This window comes from Homo sapiens, chromosome 10, assembly GCF_000001405.40.
Source record: "Homo sapiens chromosome 10, GRCh38.p14 Primary Assembly".
Classification (NCBI taxonomy): Eukaryota; Metazoa; Chordata; class Mammalia; order Primates; family Hominidae; genus Homo; species Homo sapiens.
In genome coordinates this window covers 28,317,873-28,341,662 of record NC_000010.11, presented here as the reverse complement: position 1 = coordinate 28,341,662, position 23,790 = coordinate 28,317,873, and the positions used below count along the sequence as shown (strand labels likewise).

Sequence of the window (23,790 nt, the reverse complement as noted above, 5' to 3'; positions counted from 1 at the left end):
AATACTTATTGAGTACTAGTCTTAGTACCTGGGTCATGAAATAATTTGTACAACAATCTTTCGTGACGTGAGTTTATCTATAAAACAAACCTGTACAATTACCCCTGAACCTAAAATAAAAGTTTTTTAAAAATTAATTTGGCCCAAACTGGTCACATGGCCAAGTTCAGAGTAAATGTGAGAGAGAAATACACAAAGGTGTGAGCATGGGAGGTATGGTTCGTTGGGACCCCCAAAATACAGTGTACCTCATGGTGGTTCCCTAAAAACCCAACAAAAGAGTGAATGAGTGCTGGGCAGAGTTTTAAAAAATGTCTACTATGAGCTACTAAAGTTTTAACTTACTTAATTTGAATAAAATGTTGAATTTTATTAAATCCTTCTTTAGCACTTTTGAGTTGGTTATATAATTTTTTCTTTTAGTTTATTAATGTTGTTTCACAGTTACATAAATTCATTTAAAAAATTAATTCATTTAAAATTTGGACTATTATTTGATTCCTGGATAGAACTTTTTAATCATAATATATTATGTACTGTAGGATTCAATTTTCTAATAACTTATTTATGACTTTTGCATTTAAGATTGTAAATAAGATTAGGGGATTTCAATTCCTCTGGGAGGCCACTGGTGGTCCTGATACTGCAGCTTCTGTTGCATGGGACCTGCTGTGGCTGCCTGAATCGTAGAGAGGATGCCAGGACACCAGGAAGCTGGAAATGGACTCAGTAGGCTTTGAGAATGTGGCTGTGAACTTCACCCAGGAGGAGTGGGCTTTGCTGGGACCTTCCTGGAAGAATCTCTACAGAAATGCAATGCTGGAAGCCTTCAGGAATCTGGTGTCTGTAGGAATCAAATGGAAAGCCAGGACATTGAAAATCTGTCCCAAAATCTTGGGAGAAAGCTACGAAATAATATGGTGGAGAGACTCTGTGGATGTAAAGAAGGAGTCAATGTGGAGAAACCCGCAGCCAGAAAGCAGATTGTCATCTGAACAAGAAAATTCGTACTGGAGTAAAACCATGCAAGGCAGTGTGTGTGGAATAGTCTTTGTACATCATTCATTCCTTCATAGGCACATGAGCTCACTCTGGACACAAACAATATGAGTGTGGTGGGGAATATGGTGAAAAGCCCCATAAACATAAACAATGTGGGAGAGCCTCCATTTCTCCCAGAAGTGGTCCAAGACTCATGGTAATATGCACTAGAAAGGGATGTTATAAATGCAAGCTATGAGGCAAAGCCCTTAATTTCAGTATTTATTTCACAATGAACTCACACTGGAAAGAGGTTCTATAAATGTAGAGAAATTGTGAGAGCCTTCACTGTTTTCATTTACTTTCAAATACATGAAAACATTCACACTGGAGAAAAATGCTGTGAATGTAAACACTGTGGAAAAACATTTGATTGTTCCAGTTCCTTTCATTTTAATTTTTAATTAAATTAAATTTATTTTTTGAGATGGAGCCTCACTCTGTCACCCAAGCTGGAGTGCAGTGGCGCGATCTCAGCTCACTGTAACCTCTGCCTCCTGGGTTCAAGCAATTATCCTGCCTCAGCCTCCCGAGTAGCTGGGATTACAGGCGTGCACCACCACATCTGGCTGATTTTTGCATTTTTAATAGAGATGGGGTTTCATCAGGTGAAACCAGGCCAGGCTGGTCTTGAACTCCTGACCTCACGTGATCCACCTGCCTTGGCCTCCCAAAGTGCTGGGATTAAAAGGTGTGAGCTAATGCGCCTGGCCCTAGTTCCTTTCAAATACATGTTAGAACTTACACTGGAGAAAACCCTTACCAATGCAAACACTGTGGTAAAGCATTCATTTCTTCAACTTACCTTTGGACATATGAAATCAGAGCTCATGTTCTCGAGAAATCTCATGAATGTAAGGAATGTGGGAAAAGACGCAATTGTTCCAGTTTCCTTTGAAGACACAAAAAAATGCATAGTGCAGGAAACCTTCATGAATGTAAAAAATGTGGTGAAGTCTTTAGATGTCCCACGTCCCTTCAAGCACATGAAAGAACTCATATTGGAGAGAAACCCTACGAATGTAATACATGGGGCAGAACCTTTAATTATCTCAGTTCCTTTTGAAGACATGAAAAAACTCATACTGGAGGAAAATCCTATGAATGTAGAAGGTGTGGTAGGACCTTTGGGTCGTGCAGTTCCCTTGGAAGACATGAAAGGACTCACGCTAAACAAAAACCCTATGACTGTAAACAATGTGGGCAAGTCTTCAGTTTTTAAAATTACCTTTGACTACAGGAAAGAACTCATTTTGCCCAGTGCAGCCAGTACTTTGAAAGACTGAGGCAGGAGGATCATCTGAGTCCAGCAGTTTGAGACCAGCCTGGGCAACATAACAAGACCTTGTATCAAAAAAGAAAAAAGAAAAAAAATTAACTGGGTCGGGTGGTATGTGCTGGTAGTTTCAAGTACTCAGAAAACTGAGGCAGGAGGATTGCTTGAAGCTGAGAGATGGAGGTGACAGTGAGCAGTGAGCTGTGATCACATCACTGCACTCCAGCCTGGCCAACATAGCAAGACTCTGCCTCAAAAAAAAAAAAAAAAAAAGAAAGAAAAGAAAAAAGAAAGAAAGAACCTCATTTATACAGGAGAGAAATCCTGTGGATGTACAGAATGCATTCAATTTTCCCAGTTTTCTTTAAAGACATGAAAAGACCCACCCTGGAAAACAATTCAAAGAATATAAAAAGTGTAGTAAAGGCTTCAGATGTCCTGGTTCCATTCAAAATCATAAAAGGACTCACACTGGAGAAACCCCCCTAAATGTAAAACATATGGTAAAGCATTTAATGTTCTCAGTTGCTTTCCAACATGGGAAAGGGCTCTGGAGAAAAATCCTATGAATATACAGAATGTGGGGATGCTTTCCTTGCTGTCATCTCCATTCAAAGACACACCGCAATGCACGCTGGAGATGGACATTATAAAATAGAAGAATGAATGCTGGGTGGAAACCTTAGTAATATGGAAAATACAGGAAAGTTTTCCATTTTAATATTTACTTTAAAAATCATGTGAAAACTCCCACTGGAAAGAAATCCTGCAAATGTAAGTAATTTGGAAAACCTGATGTAAATTAATTATTGTAAAAGGCTAAAAACTCCACAAATGAATTATGATACAAAGTTATCAATATATGGTGTTTATCAGTGGCTCATTCTTAAAGAGGATTTCTGGAAGATGGATTTCTATTTTTTTTTTTTTTTTTTTGAGATGGAGTCTTGCTCTATTGCCCAGGCTGGAGAGCAGTGGAGCAATCTTGGCTCATTGCAACCTCTGCCTCCTGGGTTCAAGCTATTCTCCTGCCTTGGCCTCCAAGTAGCTGAGACTACAGGTGCCTGCCACCACGCCTGGCTGATTTTTGTATTGTTAGTAGAGATGGGGTTTCGCCAAGTTGGCCAGGCTGGTCTCGAACTCCTGATCTCAGGTGATCCGCCCACCTTGGCCTCTCAAAGGGCTGGGATTACAGGCGTGACTGAGCCACCCTGCTCAGCTGGATTTCTACTTCTTTTGCAAGGAAACATTGTGTTGAGAATTCTGTATGTACTCTTTAAGCCATGGTACCTGAGGCTTAATAGGAAGTGTTTTTATCCTAATACAGTTAAAAAGATTTTCTCTATCCATTTTAAAGTGTGTTGGATCTATAGGTGAATTGAAATTTATTTTTTATGCAGTGTTTAATTGTTCTGTGATTAATGGGCCATTGAAAAATGAGACTTTGTGAATTGAGATTTTCTTATTGGTGTTATGTGGCAAGTTCTGGATATTTCTAACCCAGTATGTATATTCCGTTTTCCTTTATTATGGGGAAAACTACTGCTTTGACATGACTCTTTATTCCATTTTCTTTGCTAATGAAGAGCTGGTGTCAATTTGTAAGTACGTCAAGTTTATCATACACCATTGTGTCATGGGAGTCATTTACATTTGTTGTCCTTTTTTTTGTCACTGTTTCTGAGTATTATTTGGATAGTTCATTTTGAATTAAAGACAGACCTGTGATATCACAATATTTTGTGTCTAATCTGATGGAGAAAGCATTTAGTCTCATGGTCAAGTATGATGTTAGCTGTGGTTTAAAAATAAATTCCTTAATTGAGTTTGAAAAAAAATAAGATTAGTCTGTAATTCCATTATATTTTTCTTTCCTCTTCCCTTCCTTTTCCTTCTCCTCTCTTACCTCTCCCTTCCTTCCTTCCTTCTTCCTTCATGATTTATATAAGATTGTGCTTGTCTTGTTTTGGCTTCAGGGTTAGGTTGATTTGAATCCCAGCACTTTGGGAGGCCGAGGCTGGTGGATCATGAGGTCAGGAGATTGAAACCATCCTGGCCAACATGGTGAAACTCCATCTCTACTAAAATACAAAAAATTAGTCAGGCGTGGTGGTGCTGTAGTCCCAGCTACTCAGGAAGCTGAGGCATGGGAATCGCTTGAACCCAGGAGGTGGAGGTTGCAGTGAGCCAAGATCACGCCACTGCACTCCAGCCTGGTGACAGAGAGAGCAAGACCTCGTCTCAAAAAAAAAAAAGAAAAATGAATCAGAAAGTTTTGTTACTCTGCTCACTGCAGTAAAACAAAGAATCTCTGCAGGCAGGAACTTCTTTTTGCTTACTGCTGTATCCCCAGCTCCTAAAACATAAAAGGAGTTCAATAAATAGTTACTGAGTAAAATGAATGAATCTTCCTCAAAACATTGGTAGGTTATACCAGATGTGAATGTGGTGCTCTTTCCTGTGAGTTTTTGATGTGTGTGTGTGTGTGTGTGTGTGTGTGTGTGTGTGTGTGTGTGTGTGGTGTTTTGCTACTTCTTCAAATACTTCTAGGGTTATGAATTTTTCTTTTTCTTTTTTTTTTTCCAGACAGAGTCTCACTCTGTCACCCAGGCTGGAGTGCAGTGGTGCCATCACGGCTCACTGCAACCTCCACCTCCCAGGTTCAAGCAATTCTGCTGCCTCAGCCTCCCGAGTAGCTGGGATTACAGACGTGCACCCCCACAACTTGGTTACTCATATTTTTCTGAAAAGTAATTGGTTTCACCTAGACTTTCAAATGTATTAACATAATGATACACACAGTCTTTCTTTTCATGTTTCTTATTTATTTATTTTAGGGACAGGGTCTTGCTCTGTCACCCAGGTTGGAGTGCAGTGGTACCATCATAGCTCACTGCAGCCTAGAACTCCTGGGCTCAAGTGATCCTCCCGCCTCAGCCTCCTGAGTACCCAGGACTACAGCCGCATGCTGCCACATCCAGCACTTTCTTATAATTTTAAAGTAGTATTCCCCTGTCTGGTTTTAGTTTTTATTTGTATCTTTTCTCTTTTGTTCTTGAGTAGACTTTTAAAGGATTGCTAATTTTATTGGCTTTTTAAAAGAAACAGATGTTTCTAAAACTCTGATTTCAGATAGAAGCAGAAGTTAATAAGAATTTTCTGGCCGGGTGCGGTAGCTCACGCCTGTAATCCCAGCACTTTGGGAGGCCGAGGCAGGTGGATCATGAGGTCAGGAGACTGAGACCATCCTCGCTAACATAGTGAAACCCCATCTCTACTAAAAATACAAAAAAAAAAAAAAAAAAGCCAGGTGTGGTGGCCTGCGCCTGTAGTCTCAGCTATTTGGGAGGCTGAGGCAGGAGAATGGCATGAACCTGGGAGGCGGAGCTTGCAGTGAGCCGAAGCTTGCAGTGAGCCGAAATCGCACCAGTGCACTCCAGTCTGGGCGAATTTTTTTTTTTTTTTTTTTTAATAGACAGGGTCTTGCTCTGTCACCCAGGCTAGAGTGCAGTGGTGTGATCACAGCTCACTGCCTCTTTGAACTCTTGGGCTCAAGACATCCTCCCACCAGGCCTCCCAAAGCACTGGGAATATAGGTATGAGCCACTGCACCTGGCCAGTAAAAGTTTTTATAATTACTTCAGTTGAATATTTAGATAATATATTTTTCTATCTTTTAGGTTTTTCTAATAATAAATTGAGGCTATACATTTTCCACTGAGAATTAATTTGATTACATCCTTAAGTTTTTAGATCCAGGACTCTAATTTTTATTTCTAATATCCTATAATTCCACTTGATATCTATCATTCAAAAGATCTTCTGATGGCTACCATTTCCCTTTTACTATGCTGTTTTGGATTTAGCTTTTTGGTAGCCAGACTTCAAGATAGCCCACATCCCTTAGGTAGTCATCTCCCACACTGGATCCAAGTTAGTCTGCATGATTAATACAAGATGGCAGAAATGATGACATGTGGCTTCTGAGGCTACCTCATAAAAGACCTGTGGCTTCGCGTGAACCCGGGGGGCGGAGCTTGCAGTGAGCCGAGATCGCGCCACTGCACTCCAGCCTGGGTGACAGAGCAAGACTCCGTCTCAAAAAAAACCCCAAAAAACCTGTGGCTTCTGCCTTGTCTTCTGTCCCTGGGATTACTCCCTCTGGGAGAAAGCAGGTGTCATGTCAAGGGGACACCCAAACAGCTCTGTGGAGAGTTCAGTGCCATGAGGAACTAAGATCTCCTCCCACAGCCGTGCAGCCGTGTCGGGAACTTGAGGGTGAATCCCCAAGCACAGTGAAATCTTCGGATGACAGCAGCCCCAGCAGCATCTTGATTGCCGCCTCGTGAGTGATCCTAAAACAGAAACTTTCAGCTAATTTGCCTCCTCATTTCTGACCCACACAAACTGAGATTCAAAAACGTGTTGCTTGTGTTAAGCCCTCAAGTTCTGGGGTAATTTGTTACACAACAATAGGTAAGTAATATAATTTTAAAATATTTTATCTCATTTCAATAGGATTTTGGAAGGGTGAGAAAGAAAATGTATGGGATGAGTCTGTCTTCCTAAACCAGAATCCCACTCTGTCTTTAGCTTAAAATATTTCCCATCACCAGGGTCTTAACTGTGTAAATAAAACATTGATATTCACAAAGAGAAAAAGACTGGGAGAAACAGATGTTCCTAAAGGGAAAGTGTTAATATTTAAATTCCACACAGCATTTTAACCCTTGTAGATTTGTATCTCTACTAGGGCACACAATTATTTATATCAGAACAAATAAACGTCAAGCACATTGACTTGAGTATAAACACAAGAACATTGAGGTCAACAGGTTGCTTGGCAACTAAAGAAAGAAGCAAAACAGTAGCTTCACTCAGACACCGTAACCATCATCTCATCCTGGATGCAATTGCTGTGGTTAACAGTTGAGTATTTAGTGGTGATGGGGAGTCAACTATCATGTTCTCTCTTGTTTTGTCCAGATCACGTTATTCTTATGTATAATATCTTGAATTAAAATGATTACTTTTATTCTGCTCCTTTAGTTGTTCTAAAACTTTGTTTTAGGAATTTTTCATCTTTCATTTTCTCCTTCATCTCACCTCCTTGATGACTCAGCCACTATTTTTTTTTTCTTTTTTTAGACAAGGTCTCACTCTGTCACCCAGACTGGAGTGCAGTGGCATGATCTTGGCTCACTGTAACCTCCACCTCCTGGGTTCAAGCAATTCTCCTGCCTCAGCTTCCTGAGTAGCTGGGACTACAGGTGTGTGACACAATGCCTGGCTAATTTTTTCGTATTTTTTGTTTTACTAGAGACAAGGTTTCACTATGTTGGCCAGGCTGATCTCGAACTCCTGACCTCAAGTGATCCGCCCGCCTTGGCCTCCCAAAGTGCTGGGATTACAGGCACGAGCCACCGCAGCCGGCCCCCTTGGCTACTATTATGTCTCCACTGTGCAGCCCATACAAAAATTTCTCGGCCCAAATTTTTCATCTACATCTGGGTTTGGATGTTTGGGAGGAAACCTCTGCTTTTCCTTTGTTTCTAGATAGACTTAAAAAAATTAATTCCACCTACTTTACATGTGTCTCACTGGGAAATGTGGCTACATGTATCTCTTTTCAAATGGAAACTGTTTCCTGCAAAATACTTGAAAAAGTTACATTGTAGAAAATTAGACTGTAATTATCTGTGCTGCCAAATTTGCACTAGACTTTAGTTGCAGTATTTCCTGCTTGTTGTAGTTTCACAAATGTACAACGTTGCATAACGGAACATCTGAGACCTACATGTAACCTTTTCCTGTTACTTCTGAGTGATTTACTTCAGCTGAAAATTTATGATGTGTGCTAAACAGGATAGTATAATTGCAGAACTCAAGAATTAGAATAGCGGCCAGGCGCAGTGGCTCACGCCTGTAATCCCAACACTTTGGGAGGCTGAGATGGGTGGATCACCTTAGGTCAGGAGTTCGAGACCAGCCTGGCCAAATGGCAAAACCCTGTCTCTACTAAAAATACAAAAATTAGCTGGGTGTGGTGGCGGGTGCCTGTAATCTCAGCTACTCCAGAGGCTGAGGCAGGGAGAATCACTTGAACCAGGGAGGCGGAGGTTGCAGTGAGCTGAGATCGTGCCATTGCACTCCAGCCTGGGCAACAGAGTGACACTCTCTGTCTTAAAAAATAAATAAATAAAAAGAATTAGAATAGTGTATTCCAGAATATTGAAATTTTAACACATTAGGTTAAAGTTAAGTAGAATTCTCACAATGCCATAAGCATAGCCTGTGTCCCCAGACATGAATGGATTCAAATCTTAGATGTGTGTATCAGCTGTTGGACACTTGACATGGTTTCCTCTGTACAAAGCAAATAGGGCCAGGCACGGTGGCTCATGCCTGTAATCCCAGCACTTTGGGGTGCTGGGGTGGGAGGATTGCTTGAGGTTGGGAGTTTGTGACCAGCTTGGGCAACATAGTGAGACTCTGTCTCTATATAAAAATAAAAGAATTAGCCAGGCATGGTGGCACGTGCCTGTGGTCCAAGCTACTTAGAAGGCTGAGGTGGGAGGATTGCTTGAGCCCAGGAATTCAAGGCTGTAGTGAACTATGATTGTGCCACTGCACTCTAGCCTGGGTAATAGAGTGAGACCCTATCTCAAAAAATGGGGGGCAAATAATAACTTACCTTACAGAGTTGTTTCAGAGTTAAATGTAGTAACATATTGGAGAGTAAGTGCTACAATTTAAGTGCTCAAAACCTGTTGATTTTATACACATGCACAATACTATGATAAAGTTTTCTAACTATACCTATTTCTAACAGGTTTATACTATTTATATTCTAATTCATGCCATTGCACTATTTAGATCACAAAATGTGTGTAAACTGCCAACTGTAAAATAATAACTTTAAAACTCCCATGCTTTGAAATTTTTAAATGATATCCTTTCAACTTTAAGTTACATCATAAGTAAGAGGGAAATATAGTTAGGACAGCCCTTAGAGAAATAGATGGGAAATGGAAATTCTGTACCCAAGATTAGCCGCAATTTATTAAACACACACACACACACACACACACACACACACGCATACATTTGACAAACTGGCAATGTACGTGTCTCAAACATTATCTAAGTTGCTTAAAACGTGGTGTTAATGAAATGAAGACTTGCAGCTTTTTGTAAGAAAAAAACTCAATTTCTTCTGGTGGCTGGGAAAGGAGCTCAAGAACTGTGGTTGAAGGAATAACCCACACCAGTACCACAGCTGAATAAACAAAGCAAATGCTTGTTCAATTACCAGTGAGTCAGTAGCTTTATATTCTCTTATAGAGGGCAGAAATACAATTTCTAAACATCTGCAACCTGGAATTAGTGCCTGTGACTTCAGCAATACCAAGGAGATGAATTGTAGGAATACAAATTGTTCTCATTTCTATATAAAGATAATATCTTTTAAGGCCAGGCAAGATGGTTCATGCTTGTAATTCCCGCACTTTGGGAGGCTGAGGTGGCTGAAACACTTGAGGCCAGGAGTTCAAGACCAGCCTGGCCAATATGGTGAAATCTCATCTTTACTAAAAATACAAAAATTAGCTGGGCATGGTGGTGTGCACCTGTAATCCCAGCTACTCAGGAAACTGAAGCACAAGAATCGCTTGAACCCTGGAGGTGGAGCTTGCAGTGAGCCGAGATTATGCCACTGCACTCCAGCCTGGGTGACAGCGAGACTCTGTCTCAAATAATAATAATAATACTAATAATTTTTAAAAACCCTACAAACTGAAAATTGCTTTTTAAAAATATCCTCTTTAGCTTGTATTATAACTCTCATCACAGGCTGACTGGGTAAATTATGAGCGAGACCAACAATTAGGGTTAAATATTGTACTATTATATTGCATATGTGGTTTCTTGCCTTATAATTCATATCATAATTCATACTTATAATTACTTAAAATAGTTTCCAAGACCTTCTCCTGCATTTGACATTAGAAACTTACCCTTGTAACTTCCCTGAGGCTCCTCCCCTCAGTGAGGTTAGTGTAGAAAGGAAGAGAAGAAGGAAGTTAATTGAAGGCAGGACCCACTCAATGAGTAGCCACTGAGATGGGAAGCCAGAGAAAGTCTAAATGGACTCTGAAGACATTTCCCTTTTTTCATTAATTCATCAAATATTTGTTGAGCACCTGCTAGATGCTAGATCCCAAGCTAGGTAAACAGTGAACAAAGTAGATATGACTCTGCCCTCATTTAATTTATATTCTAGTGGGGTAGATGGTAAATAAACAAGTATGACACACATAATTTCAAATTGTCCTCAGTGCAACAAAATGAATACGGTACTGTGTTAAAGAATAACAAGATGGATCAGGACAGGTGCTGTGGCTAACACCTGTAATACTGGCATTTTGGGAGGCTGAGGCAGGAGGATTAATTGAGCCTAGGAGTTTGAGACTAGTCTGGGCAACATGGGGAGACCCTCAACTCTACGAAAAACAATTCTAAAAAATTAACCAGGCATAGTGGTGTGCACTTGTAGTCCCAGCTACTTGGGAGGCTGAGGTGAGAGAATCATTTGAGCCCAGAAGCTCAATTTTACAGTGAGTTATAATTGCACCACAGCACTCCAGCCTGGGTGACAGAGCAAGATCCCATCTTAAAAAACCAAAACCAAAAAACAAAAAAAGCAACCCCATATTTTATCCTCTGATCCCCCAATAATTCAATAAGACTGTGGCTTTCTTCCTGAGTTCTAGCCACCCCATATTGCATAGGCCAGAGAGTGCTCTTAGAGGAAAAGCCACATAAGTGAAGCTTTTACCCAGTCTCTTCCTGCTTTTTTTAAAAAAGTCTAAAAATTAATAAAAAATCTTTTCTGTTTAAAGATGAGATCTTGCTAAGTTGGGCAGGTCAGAGCACAGTAGCTATTCACAGGTGTGATCACAGTGTACTATTTGAGCCTATTTTAGACATTTTGGAATTTCTTCTCTTCCCAACTCCTGGGCTCAAGCCATCCTTCTCCTTCAGCCTCCCAAGCAGCTGGGATTACAGGTGTGTGCCATTGCACAGTTCAGTTTTGACCTGATTTTAGTCACCCTCCAGTGCCTTCAAATCATTTTCAAAAACTATTTCAGCATTTATAGTTGTCGTTGAAAGGAAGCTCAGCTGATATAAGGTACTCCACTATTACCAACATGAAAACTCTGCAAGTAGTATTCTTGTTAGTGAGTATGGCAGGTGTGTTTGGTAGATGCTATGTGGTACCTGTTGGGAAGCTATTAACAGCACCTCACCGAATTGTCTCATTTATCCTTATTTTACCTCAAAGCAGGAAGAAAAGGAGAAGTATCACTCTTTTTGCTGCACAAATGTGAAAACTCACAATAAAGAGAAGGGAGAAAGGTATTTATCATTAGAGCATTTTAGTCAGGAGCTGGGATTAGACCCCAAGCCTTTATATTTATATTGTTCTTGTTGGACAAGGTTAAAATCTATAAAGCTGTTAAAGCTAATCAGATTTATATAAATGTGCATATCCTCAGTTACTGGAAATCCTCATTTCAGATTCTACATTTTGATCATTTAATTTAAACTACAAATGCGACTCAATTTTGCATTATTCATTAAGGAAAGTTTCTCAGCTGAAAAACTGTTAGAAAAGTATTAGTAAAGTAGTGGTTTTTTTTTTTTTTTTTTTTTTGAGACGGAGTCTCGCTCTGTTGCCCAGGCTGGAGTGCAGTGGCGCGATCTCTCAGCTCTCTGCAAGCTCTGCCTCCTGGGTTCACACCATTCTCCTGCCTCAGCCTCCCGAGTAGCTGGGACTACAGGAACCCACCACCACGCCCAGCTAATTTTTTTGTATTTTTAGTAGAGACAGGGTTTCACTGTGTTAGCCAGGATGGTTTCCATCTCCTGACCTCGTGATCCGCCTGCCTCGGCTTCCCAAAGTGCTGGGATTACAGGCGTGTAAAGTAGTGGTTTTTAAGGTAACATGTAAAAATCGATACTTTTCCAAGCTCACAATAGAAAATGAAAATATCAAGTAAGAGAGACAGCATTCCCTCAGTTACAACAACAAACCAGAAACATAAAATCCTTGAGAATTAATAAGGTAATATTCTAGAAATGTTGACTATTTTAATGCTTTAGAGCAAGCAATGTTTTGAAATATTGATACTATCTAAATTAACCAATAAATCAAAAGATATTCCAATCAATTGAAGGCAAGGAGGTGGGCAAGGAGACTTGATAGATTAGTTTACAGGTCATTAAGAGGTTCAAGAAGTAGCCAGGGCAATTTTAGAAATGAACAGAAAATATCAGTACCTTTATAATACATTTTACTATGTAGCACAATAAAAATAAAATGTGTTACAATATACAACAATGGTAAAACAGTGTGGCAACATAAAAGCTATAATGGTGAAAACAGTGGGGCAATAAAAAGAAAGAGACATCGTAATGGTATAGTGAGGACAGTATGTAGAAAAGTTTAATATGTAATAAAAGTATTTCAAATCAGTGTCACATGGTATTTCGACAAATAGACATTAAACAAAGCTGAATTTATACAAAATCTGTGCCAGCTATACAGAAAATGTAAACGCTGCAAATATAACTAAAAGGTATTAGAAGAAAACATGAATCAATATAGTTATAATTTTGGTATAATATCTTTCCAGTGTAACAGAAAAGCACATAAGCCTTTCTACTCTATTTGGAATGTAAACAAACTTTTAATCCAAAAAAAAAAAAAAAAAAGTGCTTGCTAGTTAAGGAAAAGTCTCAAGACAGAAGCACTTTTTTCCTCCCTCTTAACTATGAGTAAGCTCTTGACACCTGGAGAGAAAAAGCTAAGAATTCTACCAGAGCTCATAACTTAAACTTATAAACTTAACTAGGGCTTATAAACTTAAACTCTACTAGGGCTTATTTTACTACAGCTTATTAATCTCATCCTTGCCATATTTAAAATTCTGCCCTACTGAAAAGGAGGGAATACTAGAGTTAATGTTCAATTTCAAGAGATTCAAAATTTAAAAACTATGAAATAGACCTCAAAAAACAGTTATTCTATACTTTTTAAGGTGTGAATTTGAACATTGAACCTTCGCATGTAGGTAAAAGTCAGTTGTAATTAGATTTTTATTTTTTTCTTAAAAAAATCAGAATTAAATCTGACTGAGCTGAGATTTTTTTATTAGCCAAGTACCAAGACTGTATTATATTAATGAAGCACTAGAAGTTTGAGTCAAATAAGAAAAGGATTCATGGTTCTCAGCACAGAACAACACTGTACATGAGGACAAAAACGTCTTTGCTGATTGGATGGAGACAGAAGCCTGCATCAATTTCAGCAACTGAAAGATACAAAAACATTTCCTTGTTCAACAGGTCAGGGGACTGAGGGAACCCCAAGTCAAATGCCATTTATTTCCTCTTATCTTTAAGGAGTTATTATCCGAGCTCTTTCTGGTCCATGGAATTCTTCCAGTCACCTCTGTTCTGAATGACACAATCAGTGCACACTCACGAATATAATGTCAGGGCACAATAGCTGCTAGTGTGCTGAGCAGCCAGGCCCTGATTTGGGAATAAAATTTTCACTTGGTTCTTGACTTGAAAATTCATGTTCTAAACATGTCCCTAGATGGTCTCAGCATGATTCACCCCCATTGGTTAAAAATAGAAACCTCGCTGGAACAATAGGAGCTAGATTAAACAGCTTCTGTAAAATAAATAAATAAATAAACTAGAACTCAGATAAATCCATATATTTGGGTCTTTAAAAACTGTTAAATTAAAAAAAATCAAAAGTTGTTATTTCTGTCTTTATCCAGCTCTTCCTATTAGTCCACGAATTGAAGAAGTTCTTTATCAAGTTTCTAAGCTGGTTTGCCAGTTTTTCTTTTTATGGTCAGATGAGAAGAAATATAAATTTTTTTTTTCCAGCTGCAAATCTTTTTCAATTCTTTTGCAAATGACAGTCCAATGAATTTGAAACGAGCTAGGTAGAAGGGGTAATATTTGCATTTTGAATATCTCTTTCCAAAACAACTTCTCACAGTTAAGACTTTTTTTTTTTTTTTTTTTTTTTTTACTTCTTTGACAAGTTGAAATCAAAACCTGAGAGGCTCTAAGACTTCCCAGTTCCTAGTTTGGGCTTTGCTGGATGCTGAGCTATTTTTACCCCTGGCTTAGAGCCATCTGGTTTCCCTTTGAAGGTTCACGTTGGTGTTTTTCAGTGCAGCTGGTCACATGTGCTTTGCTTTCCCAAGTAAATGCTGGTGACCTGGGGAGGAATGTATCCAGACTCTCCTGGCATCTCCGTCCTCACCATATCCTTCCCTGGTCATTGATACCGTTCATTGTCATGGCTGAGTCCTGGGCTTAGTGGCCACGAACACTTCAACTCTTTCTTGCATCTAAGCATTGAAGCTTTTTCTGGTCTATGGGATTTAATAGAATATCAGTGCAGCAGACAGAGCCCGGGAGCTGGGGTTTGCAAACTCTCTGGTGAACCGACTGGCATGTACCCTGGCAATGTGGCCCAGCACTTTCTGCCACTTGGCTTTGCTGTTGAGAGCGTTGTGCCAGGTGAATGTTAAGGAACTGAGTGCCTTGTCACAGTAAAACTACGCTGTGGACAGGCAATTTGAAAAATGTATTTTCAAGGCTGACTTAGGGGAAAGAATAAATCATCTTACCATGTGACATTAGCCTTAGCCAGGGCTTGCTCTGCTGATGGCTGTAACTTAGCACTGCCAAGAAAGCCCTTCTAATGATCTGGACTTCCTTGTTTGTCTTTTTCTTTTTAAAATTGAGCCCGGAGCATTGACTGTCACCATTTGTAGAAGTGTAAGTTTCTTTGCCTTATCAACACCTTCCTTCAATTAATATTTATAGAGTGCCTGAAGGATCAATGTCGTACCCACACCTCTGACTTCTCACATTTACAATTGGTAGCAAGGAGGAACAGCAGCTGCCTTCATTTGTAGCAGCCCTTCTCTGCAAGATGAACAGCGGTCTTTTTATTCTGCCACACTGATTGATTTCCTAAAGGTCTTTTGGTGACAGTGTCTCCCGGAAGTACAGAAAAACCCCAATAATTGATATGGGATTATATAAATAAAAATAAGAGATTTTCACACCTGAAAAACGTTTCTCTGCATTATCACGTCTACCCCAAATCTTTGGTGTGCAGCTCCAGAATAGGGTAACCACATACAGAAAGCAGTGAGCTTCTACATGCCTGGAGATGGAGAAGGATGGGCTATGCCGTGTCCTATAAAGTTAACTTAATTACTGCAGGCCAGATTTTTCTCTTTAAGGAATTTTTTTTTTTTTTTTTTTTTGAGATGAGGTCTCACTCTGTCACCCTGGCTGGAGTGAAGTGGTACGATCATAGCTCACTGCAGCCTTGAACTCCTGAGCTAAAGCTATCCTCCCACTTCAGGCTCCAGAGTAGCTGGGACTATAGGTGTTCACCACCATACCTGGGCCAATTTTTAAATTTTTTGTAGAAATGTGGTCTTGCGGCCAGGCGCGGTGGCTCATGCCTGTAATCCCAGCACTTTGGGAGGCTGAATCAGGTGGATCATTTGAGGCCAGGAGTTTGAGACCAGTGTGGCCAACATGGGAAAACCCCCTCTCTACTAAAAATACAAAAATTAGCCGGGTATGGTGGTGCATGCCTGTAATCTCAGCTATTCGGGAAGTTGAGGCAGGAGAATCCCTTGGACCGGGGAGACAGAGGTTGCAGCGAGCTGAGATCACGCCACTGCACTCCAGCCTGGGCGACAGAGCAAGACTCGGTCTCAAAAAAAGAAAAAAAAGAAAAAGAAATGAAATGGGATATTACTATGTTGCCCTGGTCGGTCTCAAACTCCTGTCCTCAGGTGGTCCTCCTGCCTCTGCCTTCCAAAGTGCTGAGATTACAGGCATGAGCCACCGCACCTGGCCAAAAATGTTCTTAATATCAGTACAAGTTATTCCTTATTCCCTAGATATCTGCTATTACAAATGCTTCTACTACTTATTACAATACTACTTTCAAATACTAGCTAATGTTATTGACTCTGACCATGAGGCAAGCCCTGTGCTAAGCCACATACTGTATAGTGGTTAAGAACACAAGCAGCTGGCACAGTAGCTCACACCTGTAATCCCAGAACTTTAGGAGGCCAAGGCAGGAGGATCACTTGAGCTCAGGAGTTCAAGACCAGCCTGGGCAATATAGTGGGACCTCCATCTCTACAAAATATATTAAAATTAGCCAGGTAAAGTGGCATGTGTCTGTAGTCCCAGCCACTTGAGAGGCTGAGATGGGAGGATCACTTGAATCTGGGAGGTCAAGGCTGCAGCGAGCTGTGAACACAGGCTTTGGAACTGGACTATTGGTTCAAATCTCAGCTCTATCACTTATAGACTTAGGCAAGTCAACTAACCTCTCCATGCTTCAGCTTCTTCAACTGTTAAAAAGGGGCTAATAACTGATCTCCTAGGATTTATAGTGAGGACTAGATTCACTCCGGGATGTATAAACCAGTGGGTAGAGTTCTGGATACTTGTGAACTTGAATAGGAAAAATTAATTACATCTATGCTCATCAGTTTTTCAAAGTCATGGCATTGTTAAACCTGTCTCCAGTTCTCATTATGAAATGTATTTAAAAAGAAGAATCTTTATTACCGTATTACTTTTTATTCTTTTGGCAGCTGTCTCAGTATATTTGGTTATCCTATATGTTCTATTTTATGCATATAGAATTCTTATTCTGAGAAAGGGTGGAGATGCTCCACTAAATTGCAGAAAGGGCCTGTAGTGCAGAAAAATTAAAGAACCCTTGAGTGACAACATGTGCCAAGTACTTAGAACCATTCGTGGTACATAATAATCTTACTATCTGTGTTTTCTATTGTCTTAGTCTGTTTGAGCTTCTATAACAAAACATCATAGCCTGGGTAGCTTCCAGATTACAGAAATTTCTTTCTTGCAGTTATAGAGACTGGGAAGTCCAAGATCAAGGCGCTGGCAGATTTGGTGTCTGGGGAGGGCCTGTTGCCTGGTTCATAGACAACGTCTTCTCTCTGTGCCCTCACGTGGCAGAGGGGCCAGGGAGCTTTCTGGGGCCTCTTTCACTACAGGACTAATCCCATTCAGAACCTTCATGACCTAGTCACAGCCCCAAAGACCCTGCCTCCTAATATCATCAACTTGGGGGTTAAGATTTCAACCTATGAATTTTGGCAGTAGACAGACCGTCACAGCTATTGTTATTATCTCATTTTAGTCCTCATAATAACTGAAGAGGTGAATATAGCTATTATCATCTCACTAGGATATATGGTTATGAAGGCAGATATTTTTTCTGTTTTATTCATTGTGTATCCCTAGAACGCAAAATGTGCATGGCATATAGTAGATATTTAATAATATCTAATGAATGTCCACATCCCAATTTTGCAAAGAGGACACCATGACTTGAAGAGGTGGCGTATTATGCCATATTCAGTCACCCGGCATCCAAACCATCAAGCTCCATCAGTGTGGCTCCAGGACTGGAGACTGAACTTCATTCATTGTCTCCCAGTCATTTCATGACTCTTTCTCTCTCTCTATTTATTTATTTATTTATTATTTTTTGTGTGTAGCAACAGGGCCTTGTTATGTTGCCCAAGCTGGTCTAGAACTCCTGGCCTCACGTGATCCCTTCACCTTAGCCTCCCCAAGTACTGGGATTACAGGCTTGAGCCACTGTGCCTAGCCCATTTCACAATTCTTAGAGCAGCAATTTTTCCTAAGCTTAGAACTTGCATACTGGGGAAAACAAAGCCCGGTTTTGGCTGGGATTTCTTTCTTTCTTTTTTTTTTTTTCCTAGATAGAGTCTCACTCTGCTGCCTAGGCTAGAGTACAGTGGTGCGATCTTAGCTCACTTCAGCCTCCAACTCCTAGGCTCAATTGATCCTCCTACCTTAGCCGCCCAAGTAGCTGGGACCACAGGTGTACACCACCATGCCCAGCTGATTTATTTTTCTTTTTTTTTGAGATGGAGTGTCGCTCTGTCACACAGGCTGGAGTGCAGTGGCCTGATCTTGGCTCACTGCAAGCTCCGCCTCCAAGGTTCATGCCATTCTCCTGCCTCAGCCTCCTGAGTAGCTGGGACTACAGGCGCCTCCACCACGCCCGGCTAATTGTTTGTATTTTTAGTAGAGACGGGGTTTCACCGTGTTAGCCAGGATGGTCTCAATCTCCTGACCTTGTGATCCGCCTGCCTTGGCCTCCCAAACCGCTGGGATTACAGGTGTGAGCCACCGTGCCCGGCCCCTATTTTTCTTTTTTGTAGAGATGGGTCTTATTATGTTGTCCAGTCTGGTCTTGAACTCCTGGCTCAAGCAATCTGCCTGTCTCGACCTCCCAGAGTGTTAGAACTACAGGGGACTGCTTAATGAAACAATGGAGGCAGAAGGTGACTTTGAGATGATGTACAGAACTGAGCAACCCCAATCTCACCAGGTCTTATCAATAATTTAACACAAATAAAATCATATTAACACGTGGGTGCTCCTAGCTTTCCCCTCACACAGCTGCTAAAGGAAACTTTGTCTTCTTCAGCTTGGTTCTTGGGCTTCTATGGTGCAGGATCTGGGCTTGGAGAAACTGGAGAAGTGACAGAGTGTGGCTGTGCTCTAGAGAGCACTGAGTTTTACCCCTGGGAAAGGTCAAAGAGTAGAAATCAAAGGAAAGAGACAGCGGCGAAGAGAGACAAGACCCGCCAAGAGCGGGGTGTCAATGACAGCCAAAAGTAACAGAGAAAGGTTGGGGCCTGGCTGCCATTTTATGGAGAGTGGGTTTTTCAGATGGGGAGAGAGGGTTTTTCAAAGTTTTTTGTGCAAATCTTCTGATCCTTCCAGAGTCATGAGCTTTTATTTTTTATTTATTTTATTTTATTTTTTTAGAAAAGCAGGAAAAATGTTAATAACTTGAACTTGACAACCTCTGATCTAATGTTTCTTTTAATACTACTTCTTCAGAGCAGGAACCGCAAGACATCCAGCTTTTATATGGATAATAATATCCCATCTGTTTCAGCACCACACCATCTCCACCTGTACTTGATCTCTTCCTCCCACTTCTCCTTACCATGGTCAATTGCCTGCTAAGTTGATTGCAAGTCCTGGAGTGCAGGGCTCCTTATATAAATGGAACGTTTGTCACCTCCCTGGATCTGTGACTCATTTTGTCACATGGCCCTGAAGTGGCACAAAATGCATCTAATGTCTTTCCAAGTTTCCTCAGAAAAGCAGGTTTTTATCTTCTGTGAGTATCTGTACAGCTAAACACACACACACACACACACACACACACACACACACACACACGTCTACAAAAACAAGTTGTAGCTTACAGGTATAATGCAGTCTAAATAAATTCTCTAAAAATTTTCTGGCTAGGCATGGCTCATACCTGTAATCTCAGCACTTTGGGAAGCCAAGGTGGGTGGATCACCTGAGGCCAGGAGTTCGAGACCAGCCTGGCCAACATGGTGAAACCCTGTCTCTACTAAAAAATATAAAAATTAGCCGGGTGTGGTGGCACATGCTTGTAGTCCCAGCTACTCAGGAGGCTGAGGCAGGAGAATTGCTTGAACATGGGAGGTGGAGGTTGCAGTGAGCTGAGATCGCACCACTGCACTCCAGCCTGGGTGATGAGCAAGACCCTGTCTCAAAAACAAAAACAAAAAAATTTCTATTAAAAAATACCCTAATCTGAAGGATTTAGAATGACAGTGAAGGGTTTTGACTTTGACATGAGGCAGACCAGTTTGACTCCCAGCTCTGCCAATTATTCATCATCTAAATTTGGGCAATTAAAATAATTGCTCTAGCCTCAGTTTTCTCACCTATAAAATAGGAATAATAACATCCATCCCATGATGTCAACTGTGAGGACTGCATAAAATAATCCAGGAAGATGTGTATTGGGTGTTCTCTGTTACTGTTACTTAACATGGAACAATTTAGATGTTTGGAGCAGTAACATGAAAAGAGCTTTTCTCATTTGGTGTCTATTTTCATATCTAAAATTAACCTTTTTTTGTTCATTTTCCAGAACAATATGCCCCAAATATATATCCTAATTTCTATTTTTTTGCAGGAGAGGAAACTACATATATATTTGAGATGTCAGCTTTTCTTTCTGGTTTCTACCAGCCCCATTAAGGTTTCAAACCTTTTAGATCCAAGTCTTGGCCTGAGCTAGGGCTCTGGGAGTGAGGAACTGCCTATCTCCCCGGTGGGGAGGAAGCTTCTCCAAGCACCGCGCATTGTCAGAGTGGGCATGGGGCCTGAGCATGTCCTGTGCCATGCATAGCTCTGGGGGACACTCTGTCTGCCCCTGAATTGCCTCACTGTTACAGTTAAGAAGATGAACCTCGTCAGGGGCTATTACCAGTGCTGCCTTTTGTTCCAAACCACTGCAGAGGAACAAAAAAAAAACAAACAAAAAACTGCACTAGTTTTAAAAATTGGAAGTGGCAAAATAGGAGATGTAGGCTTGATGTAGATATTAAGTAATTATTCTAAATTAGTGAAAACTGACAACTGAACAACACTGATTATGAAACAAAGATTTTGGACCGCCCACCCTGAATAATGAAGAGTTATGTCAAGCAAAATTGATATGAAACGATGTGTAGTGATTTCAAGTTGACCCCCCTTCCACTGTTGATAAGTACTCGGTCACTTCGATAGTTTTATTTCTATTTTTTTCTTAAGAAGGCTTATTCTAAAGGTCCTCTTTTCACTATCATTGTAAAAAATAAAATAATAATTTTAATTATTTGACTTGGAAATAGTCTCTCTTTTTTCCCCTATAAGATTAATTGTCCTAAAATACCATTTTCCTGGCAAGCTAAAAAAAAAATCTTCAGTAACTTCTATTGATTTTAGAATCTGGTCCAAATTTCCCAGCCTGACAATCTAGGTCATTCCATGGCTGTCCAACCCTTCCCTACAGAAATGTTTTGTTCCAGCTGGCATCCTCGTTTTCCTTTAGACATATACAGCTCATTGCTGCCTCAAACCTTTTATTCATGATGCATCCCAAAAGGAATGCTCTCCTCCAGGGTACCTTCTCGGCCCATTTCTCTCCTTAAACTAGTTTCCTTTTCTTCAATTCCTGTTGATCTCTCACACGTATCTTCTCCAGAGTCACTAACTGACTCCTTTACATAGAGACATTCAGTGCGTGACTGGGGAATATAAGTAATGGGCCTCCCTTGGGAACTTCAATAGAGCAGTTTCCCTTACTGAGGTATAGAGGGCACCGAAAGAATAATTTGGGTGAATAAAATATGTATTTTTTTTTGTTTTTGAGAGAGAGTCTGTCTCTGTTGTCCTATCTCAGCCCACTGCAACTTCTGCCTTCTGGGTTCAAGCTATCCTCCTGCCTCAGCCTCCTGAGTAGCTGGGACCACAGGCGTGCATCACCACACCCGGCTAATTTTCTGTATTTTAGTATAGATGGGGTTTCTCCATGTTGCCCAGGCTGGTCTCGAACCCCTGGCCTCAAGTGATCCACCTGCGTTGGCCTCCCAAAGTGCTGGGATTACAGACATAAGCTACAATGCCTAGCCACAATATGTGTTTTTATAAATGGCAGTGTCAACATTTAAATACCCCCTCAGAATTTATGTCCTGAATTTACTGAACTGTAGCCAAATGTAAGTCATAATACAGTTAACTGAAGATATATCATCTCTCTCTCTCTCTTTTTTTCCCAGACCACCATGCTGGGCTAATTTTTGTATTTTTTTGTAGAGACGGGGTTTTGCCATGTTGCTCAGGCTGATCTTGAACTCCTAGGCTCAAGCAATCCACCTGCCTCAGCCTCCCAAAGTGCTGGGATTACAGATGTGAGTCACCATGCCAGCCTAAAATTCCCATCTAGGAAGATAAAATATTGATATGGTTTGGCTCTGTGTGCCCAATCAAATCTCATGTTGAAATGTAATCCCCAGTGTTGGTGGAGGAACCTGGTGGGAGGTGATTGGATCATGGGGTGGATTTTCCCCTTGCTGTTCTCATGACAGTGAGTGAGTTCTCATGAGAGCTGATTGTTTAAAAGTGTGTAGCACCTACCCCTTCACCCTCTTCCTCCTGCTCTGGCCATGTAAGACATGCCTGCTTCCCCTTCACCCTCTGCCATGATTGTAAGTTTTCTGAGGTCTCCTCAGCCATGCCTCCTGTATAGCCTGTAGAACTGTGAGCCAATTAAAACTCTTCGTTATATATTACTCAGTCTCAGGTATTTCTTTATAGCAGTGTAAGAACAGACTAATACAAACATTCAAATATGTTTCAAGGAAAAATATGTCTTTGACACAGATTTCTAAAGCATCATATTACATTTACAAATTGGTTCTTTCACAAATAGAAGTTATAAACTGCTTCTTGCATGTAACTTGTGAAGAGAAAACACACACTGCTTGTCTACAGATGGTGTATGAGATTTGAATTTGGCTTCACTTAAGCAAGGCAAGTAAAAAACCTTTCCATCATCCGACAACTAGAAGGGCAGGGCTATGTATCTAAGAGTACTTTCACAAGAATAATCCTATTGCTTTTCTTTTCTTTTATTTTTTGATATGGAGTGTCACTCTTGTCACCCAGGCTGGAGTGCAGTGGCATGATCTCAGCTCACTGCAACCTCCACCTCCCAGGTTCAAGTGATTCTCCTGCCTCAGCCTCCTGGGTAGCTGGGATGACAGGCACACGAAACCATGTCCAGCTAATTTTTATAGTTTTAGTAGAGATGGGTTTCACCACATTGGCCAGGCTGGTCTCAAACTCCTGACTTCAAGTAATCCACCTACCTTGGCCTCGCAAAGTGTTGGGATTACAGGAGTCAGCCACCATGCCTGACCCCTATTGCTTTTCAACAGAGAAGCTTGACTGTGCTGTGTTATGTTACACAGAGAAGGAAGAAGAACCAAGCCTCAGTGGAGACCTCATTATCTGTCAGCCACTGTGCTCAGTGCTTTGAAGTGTCGTCTCATTTAATGATCATAACATCCCTGTTCAATGGGTGTTATTATTTCCTCTGTTACGGTTGAGGAAATTGCAATTATAGATCAGTCCAAGAGTGGGATTCTTTATTTCAGTTCAAGGTAAACAAAATCATGATTTCCCATGGTAGTTGGAATGCCCGCTCTTTTGGGAGAAGTATATATAGTGAGGCATGAAAGTAAGTTTGAGGTTGCCAAGGCTCTAAATAGATGACACATGCTCATAATAGGCGATGGCACCCGGAACAACAGCATATGGTTGTGCAGCTTGTGTACTGCACAGGGTACTGCAGTCATGGCGTAAGCATCACACATTTGTATTTTTATTATGACACATTCCTGGCAGATGTCAGTGAAGTGTCTTGCTCTAATCGAAGCAGCATAGCATAA

The 23,790-nt window shown here is 40.7% G+C and overlaps 1 protein-coding gene and 1 pseudogene across 1 annotated transcript in view, besides 3 other annotated features; both read left to right on the top strand.

The window, feature by feature from the left end:
* On the top strand, positions 598–2,386 carry ZNF101P1 (zinc finger protein 101 pseudogene 1; annotated as a pseudogene).
* Positions 6,184–6,233: an enhancer, noted in NCBI's record as "active region_3191". NCBI's record gives its function as "activates an Ori minimal core promoter by ATAC-STARR-seq in GM12878 lymphoblastoid cells {active_cell/tissue: GM12878}" and the evidence as "EXISTENCE:reporter gene assay evidence [ECO:0000049][PMID:35858748]".
* MPP7 (MAGUK p55 scaffold protein 7) overlaps positions 6,460–23,790 on the top strand; it is a 284,211-nt gene continuing 266,880 nt past the window's right edge. The window contains exon 1 of the mRNA XM_047424647.1: positions 6,460–6,793. The gene's annotated coding sequence lies outside the window, so the exon portion shown is untranslated. The remainder of the gene's footprint in view (positions 6,794–23,790) is intronic.
* Positions 6,504–6,623: an enhancer, noted in NCBI's record as "active region_3190". NCBI's record gives its function as "activates an Ori minimal core promoter by ATAC-STARR-seq in GM12878 lymphoblastoid cells {active_cell/tissue: GM12878}" and the evidence as "EXISTENCE:reporter gene assay evidence [ECO:0000049][PMID:35858748]".
* Positions 7,269–7,318: a silencer, noted in NCBI's record as "silent region_2250". NCBI's record gives its function as "represses an Ori minimal core promoter by ATAC-STARR-seq in GM12878 lymphoblastoid cells {active_cell/tissue: GM12878}" and the evidence as "EXISTENCE:reporter gene assay evidence [ECO:0000049][PMID:35858748]".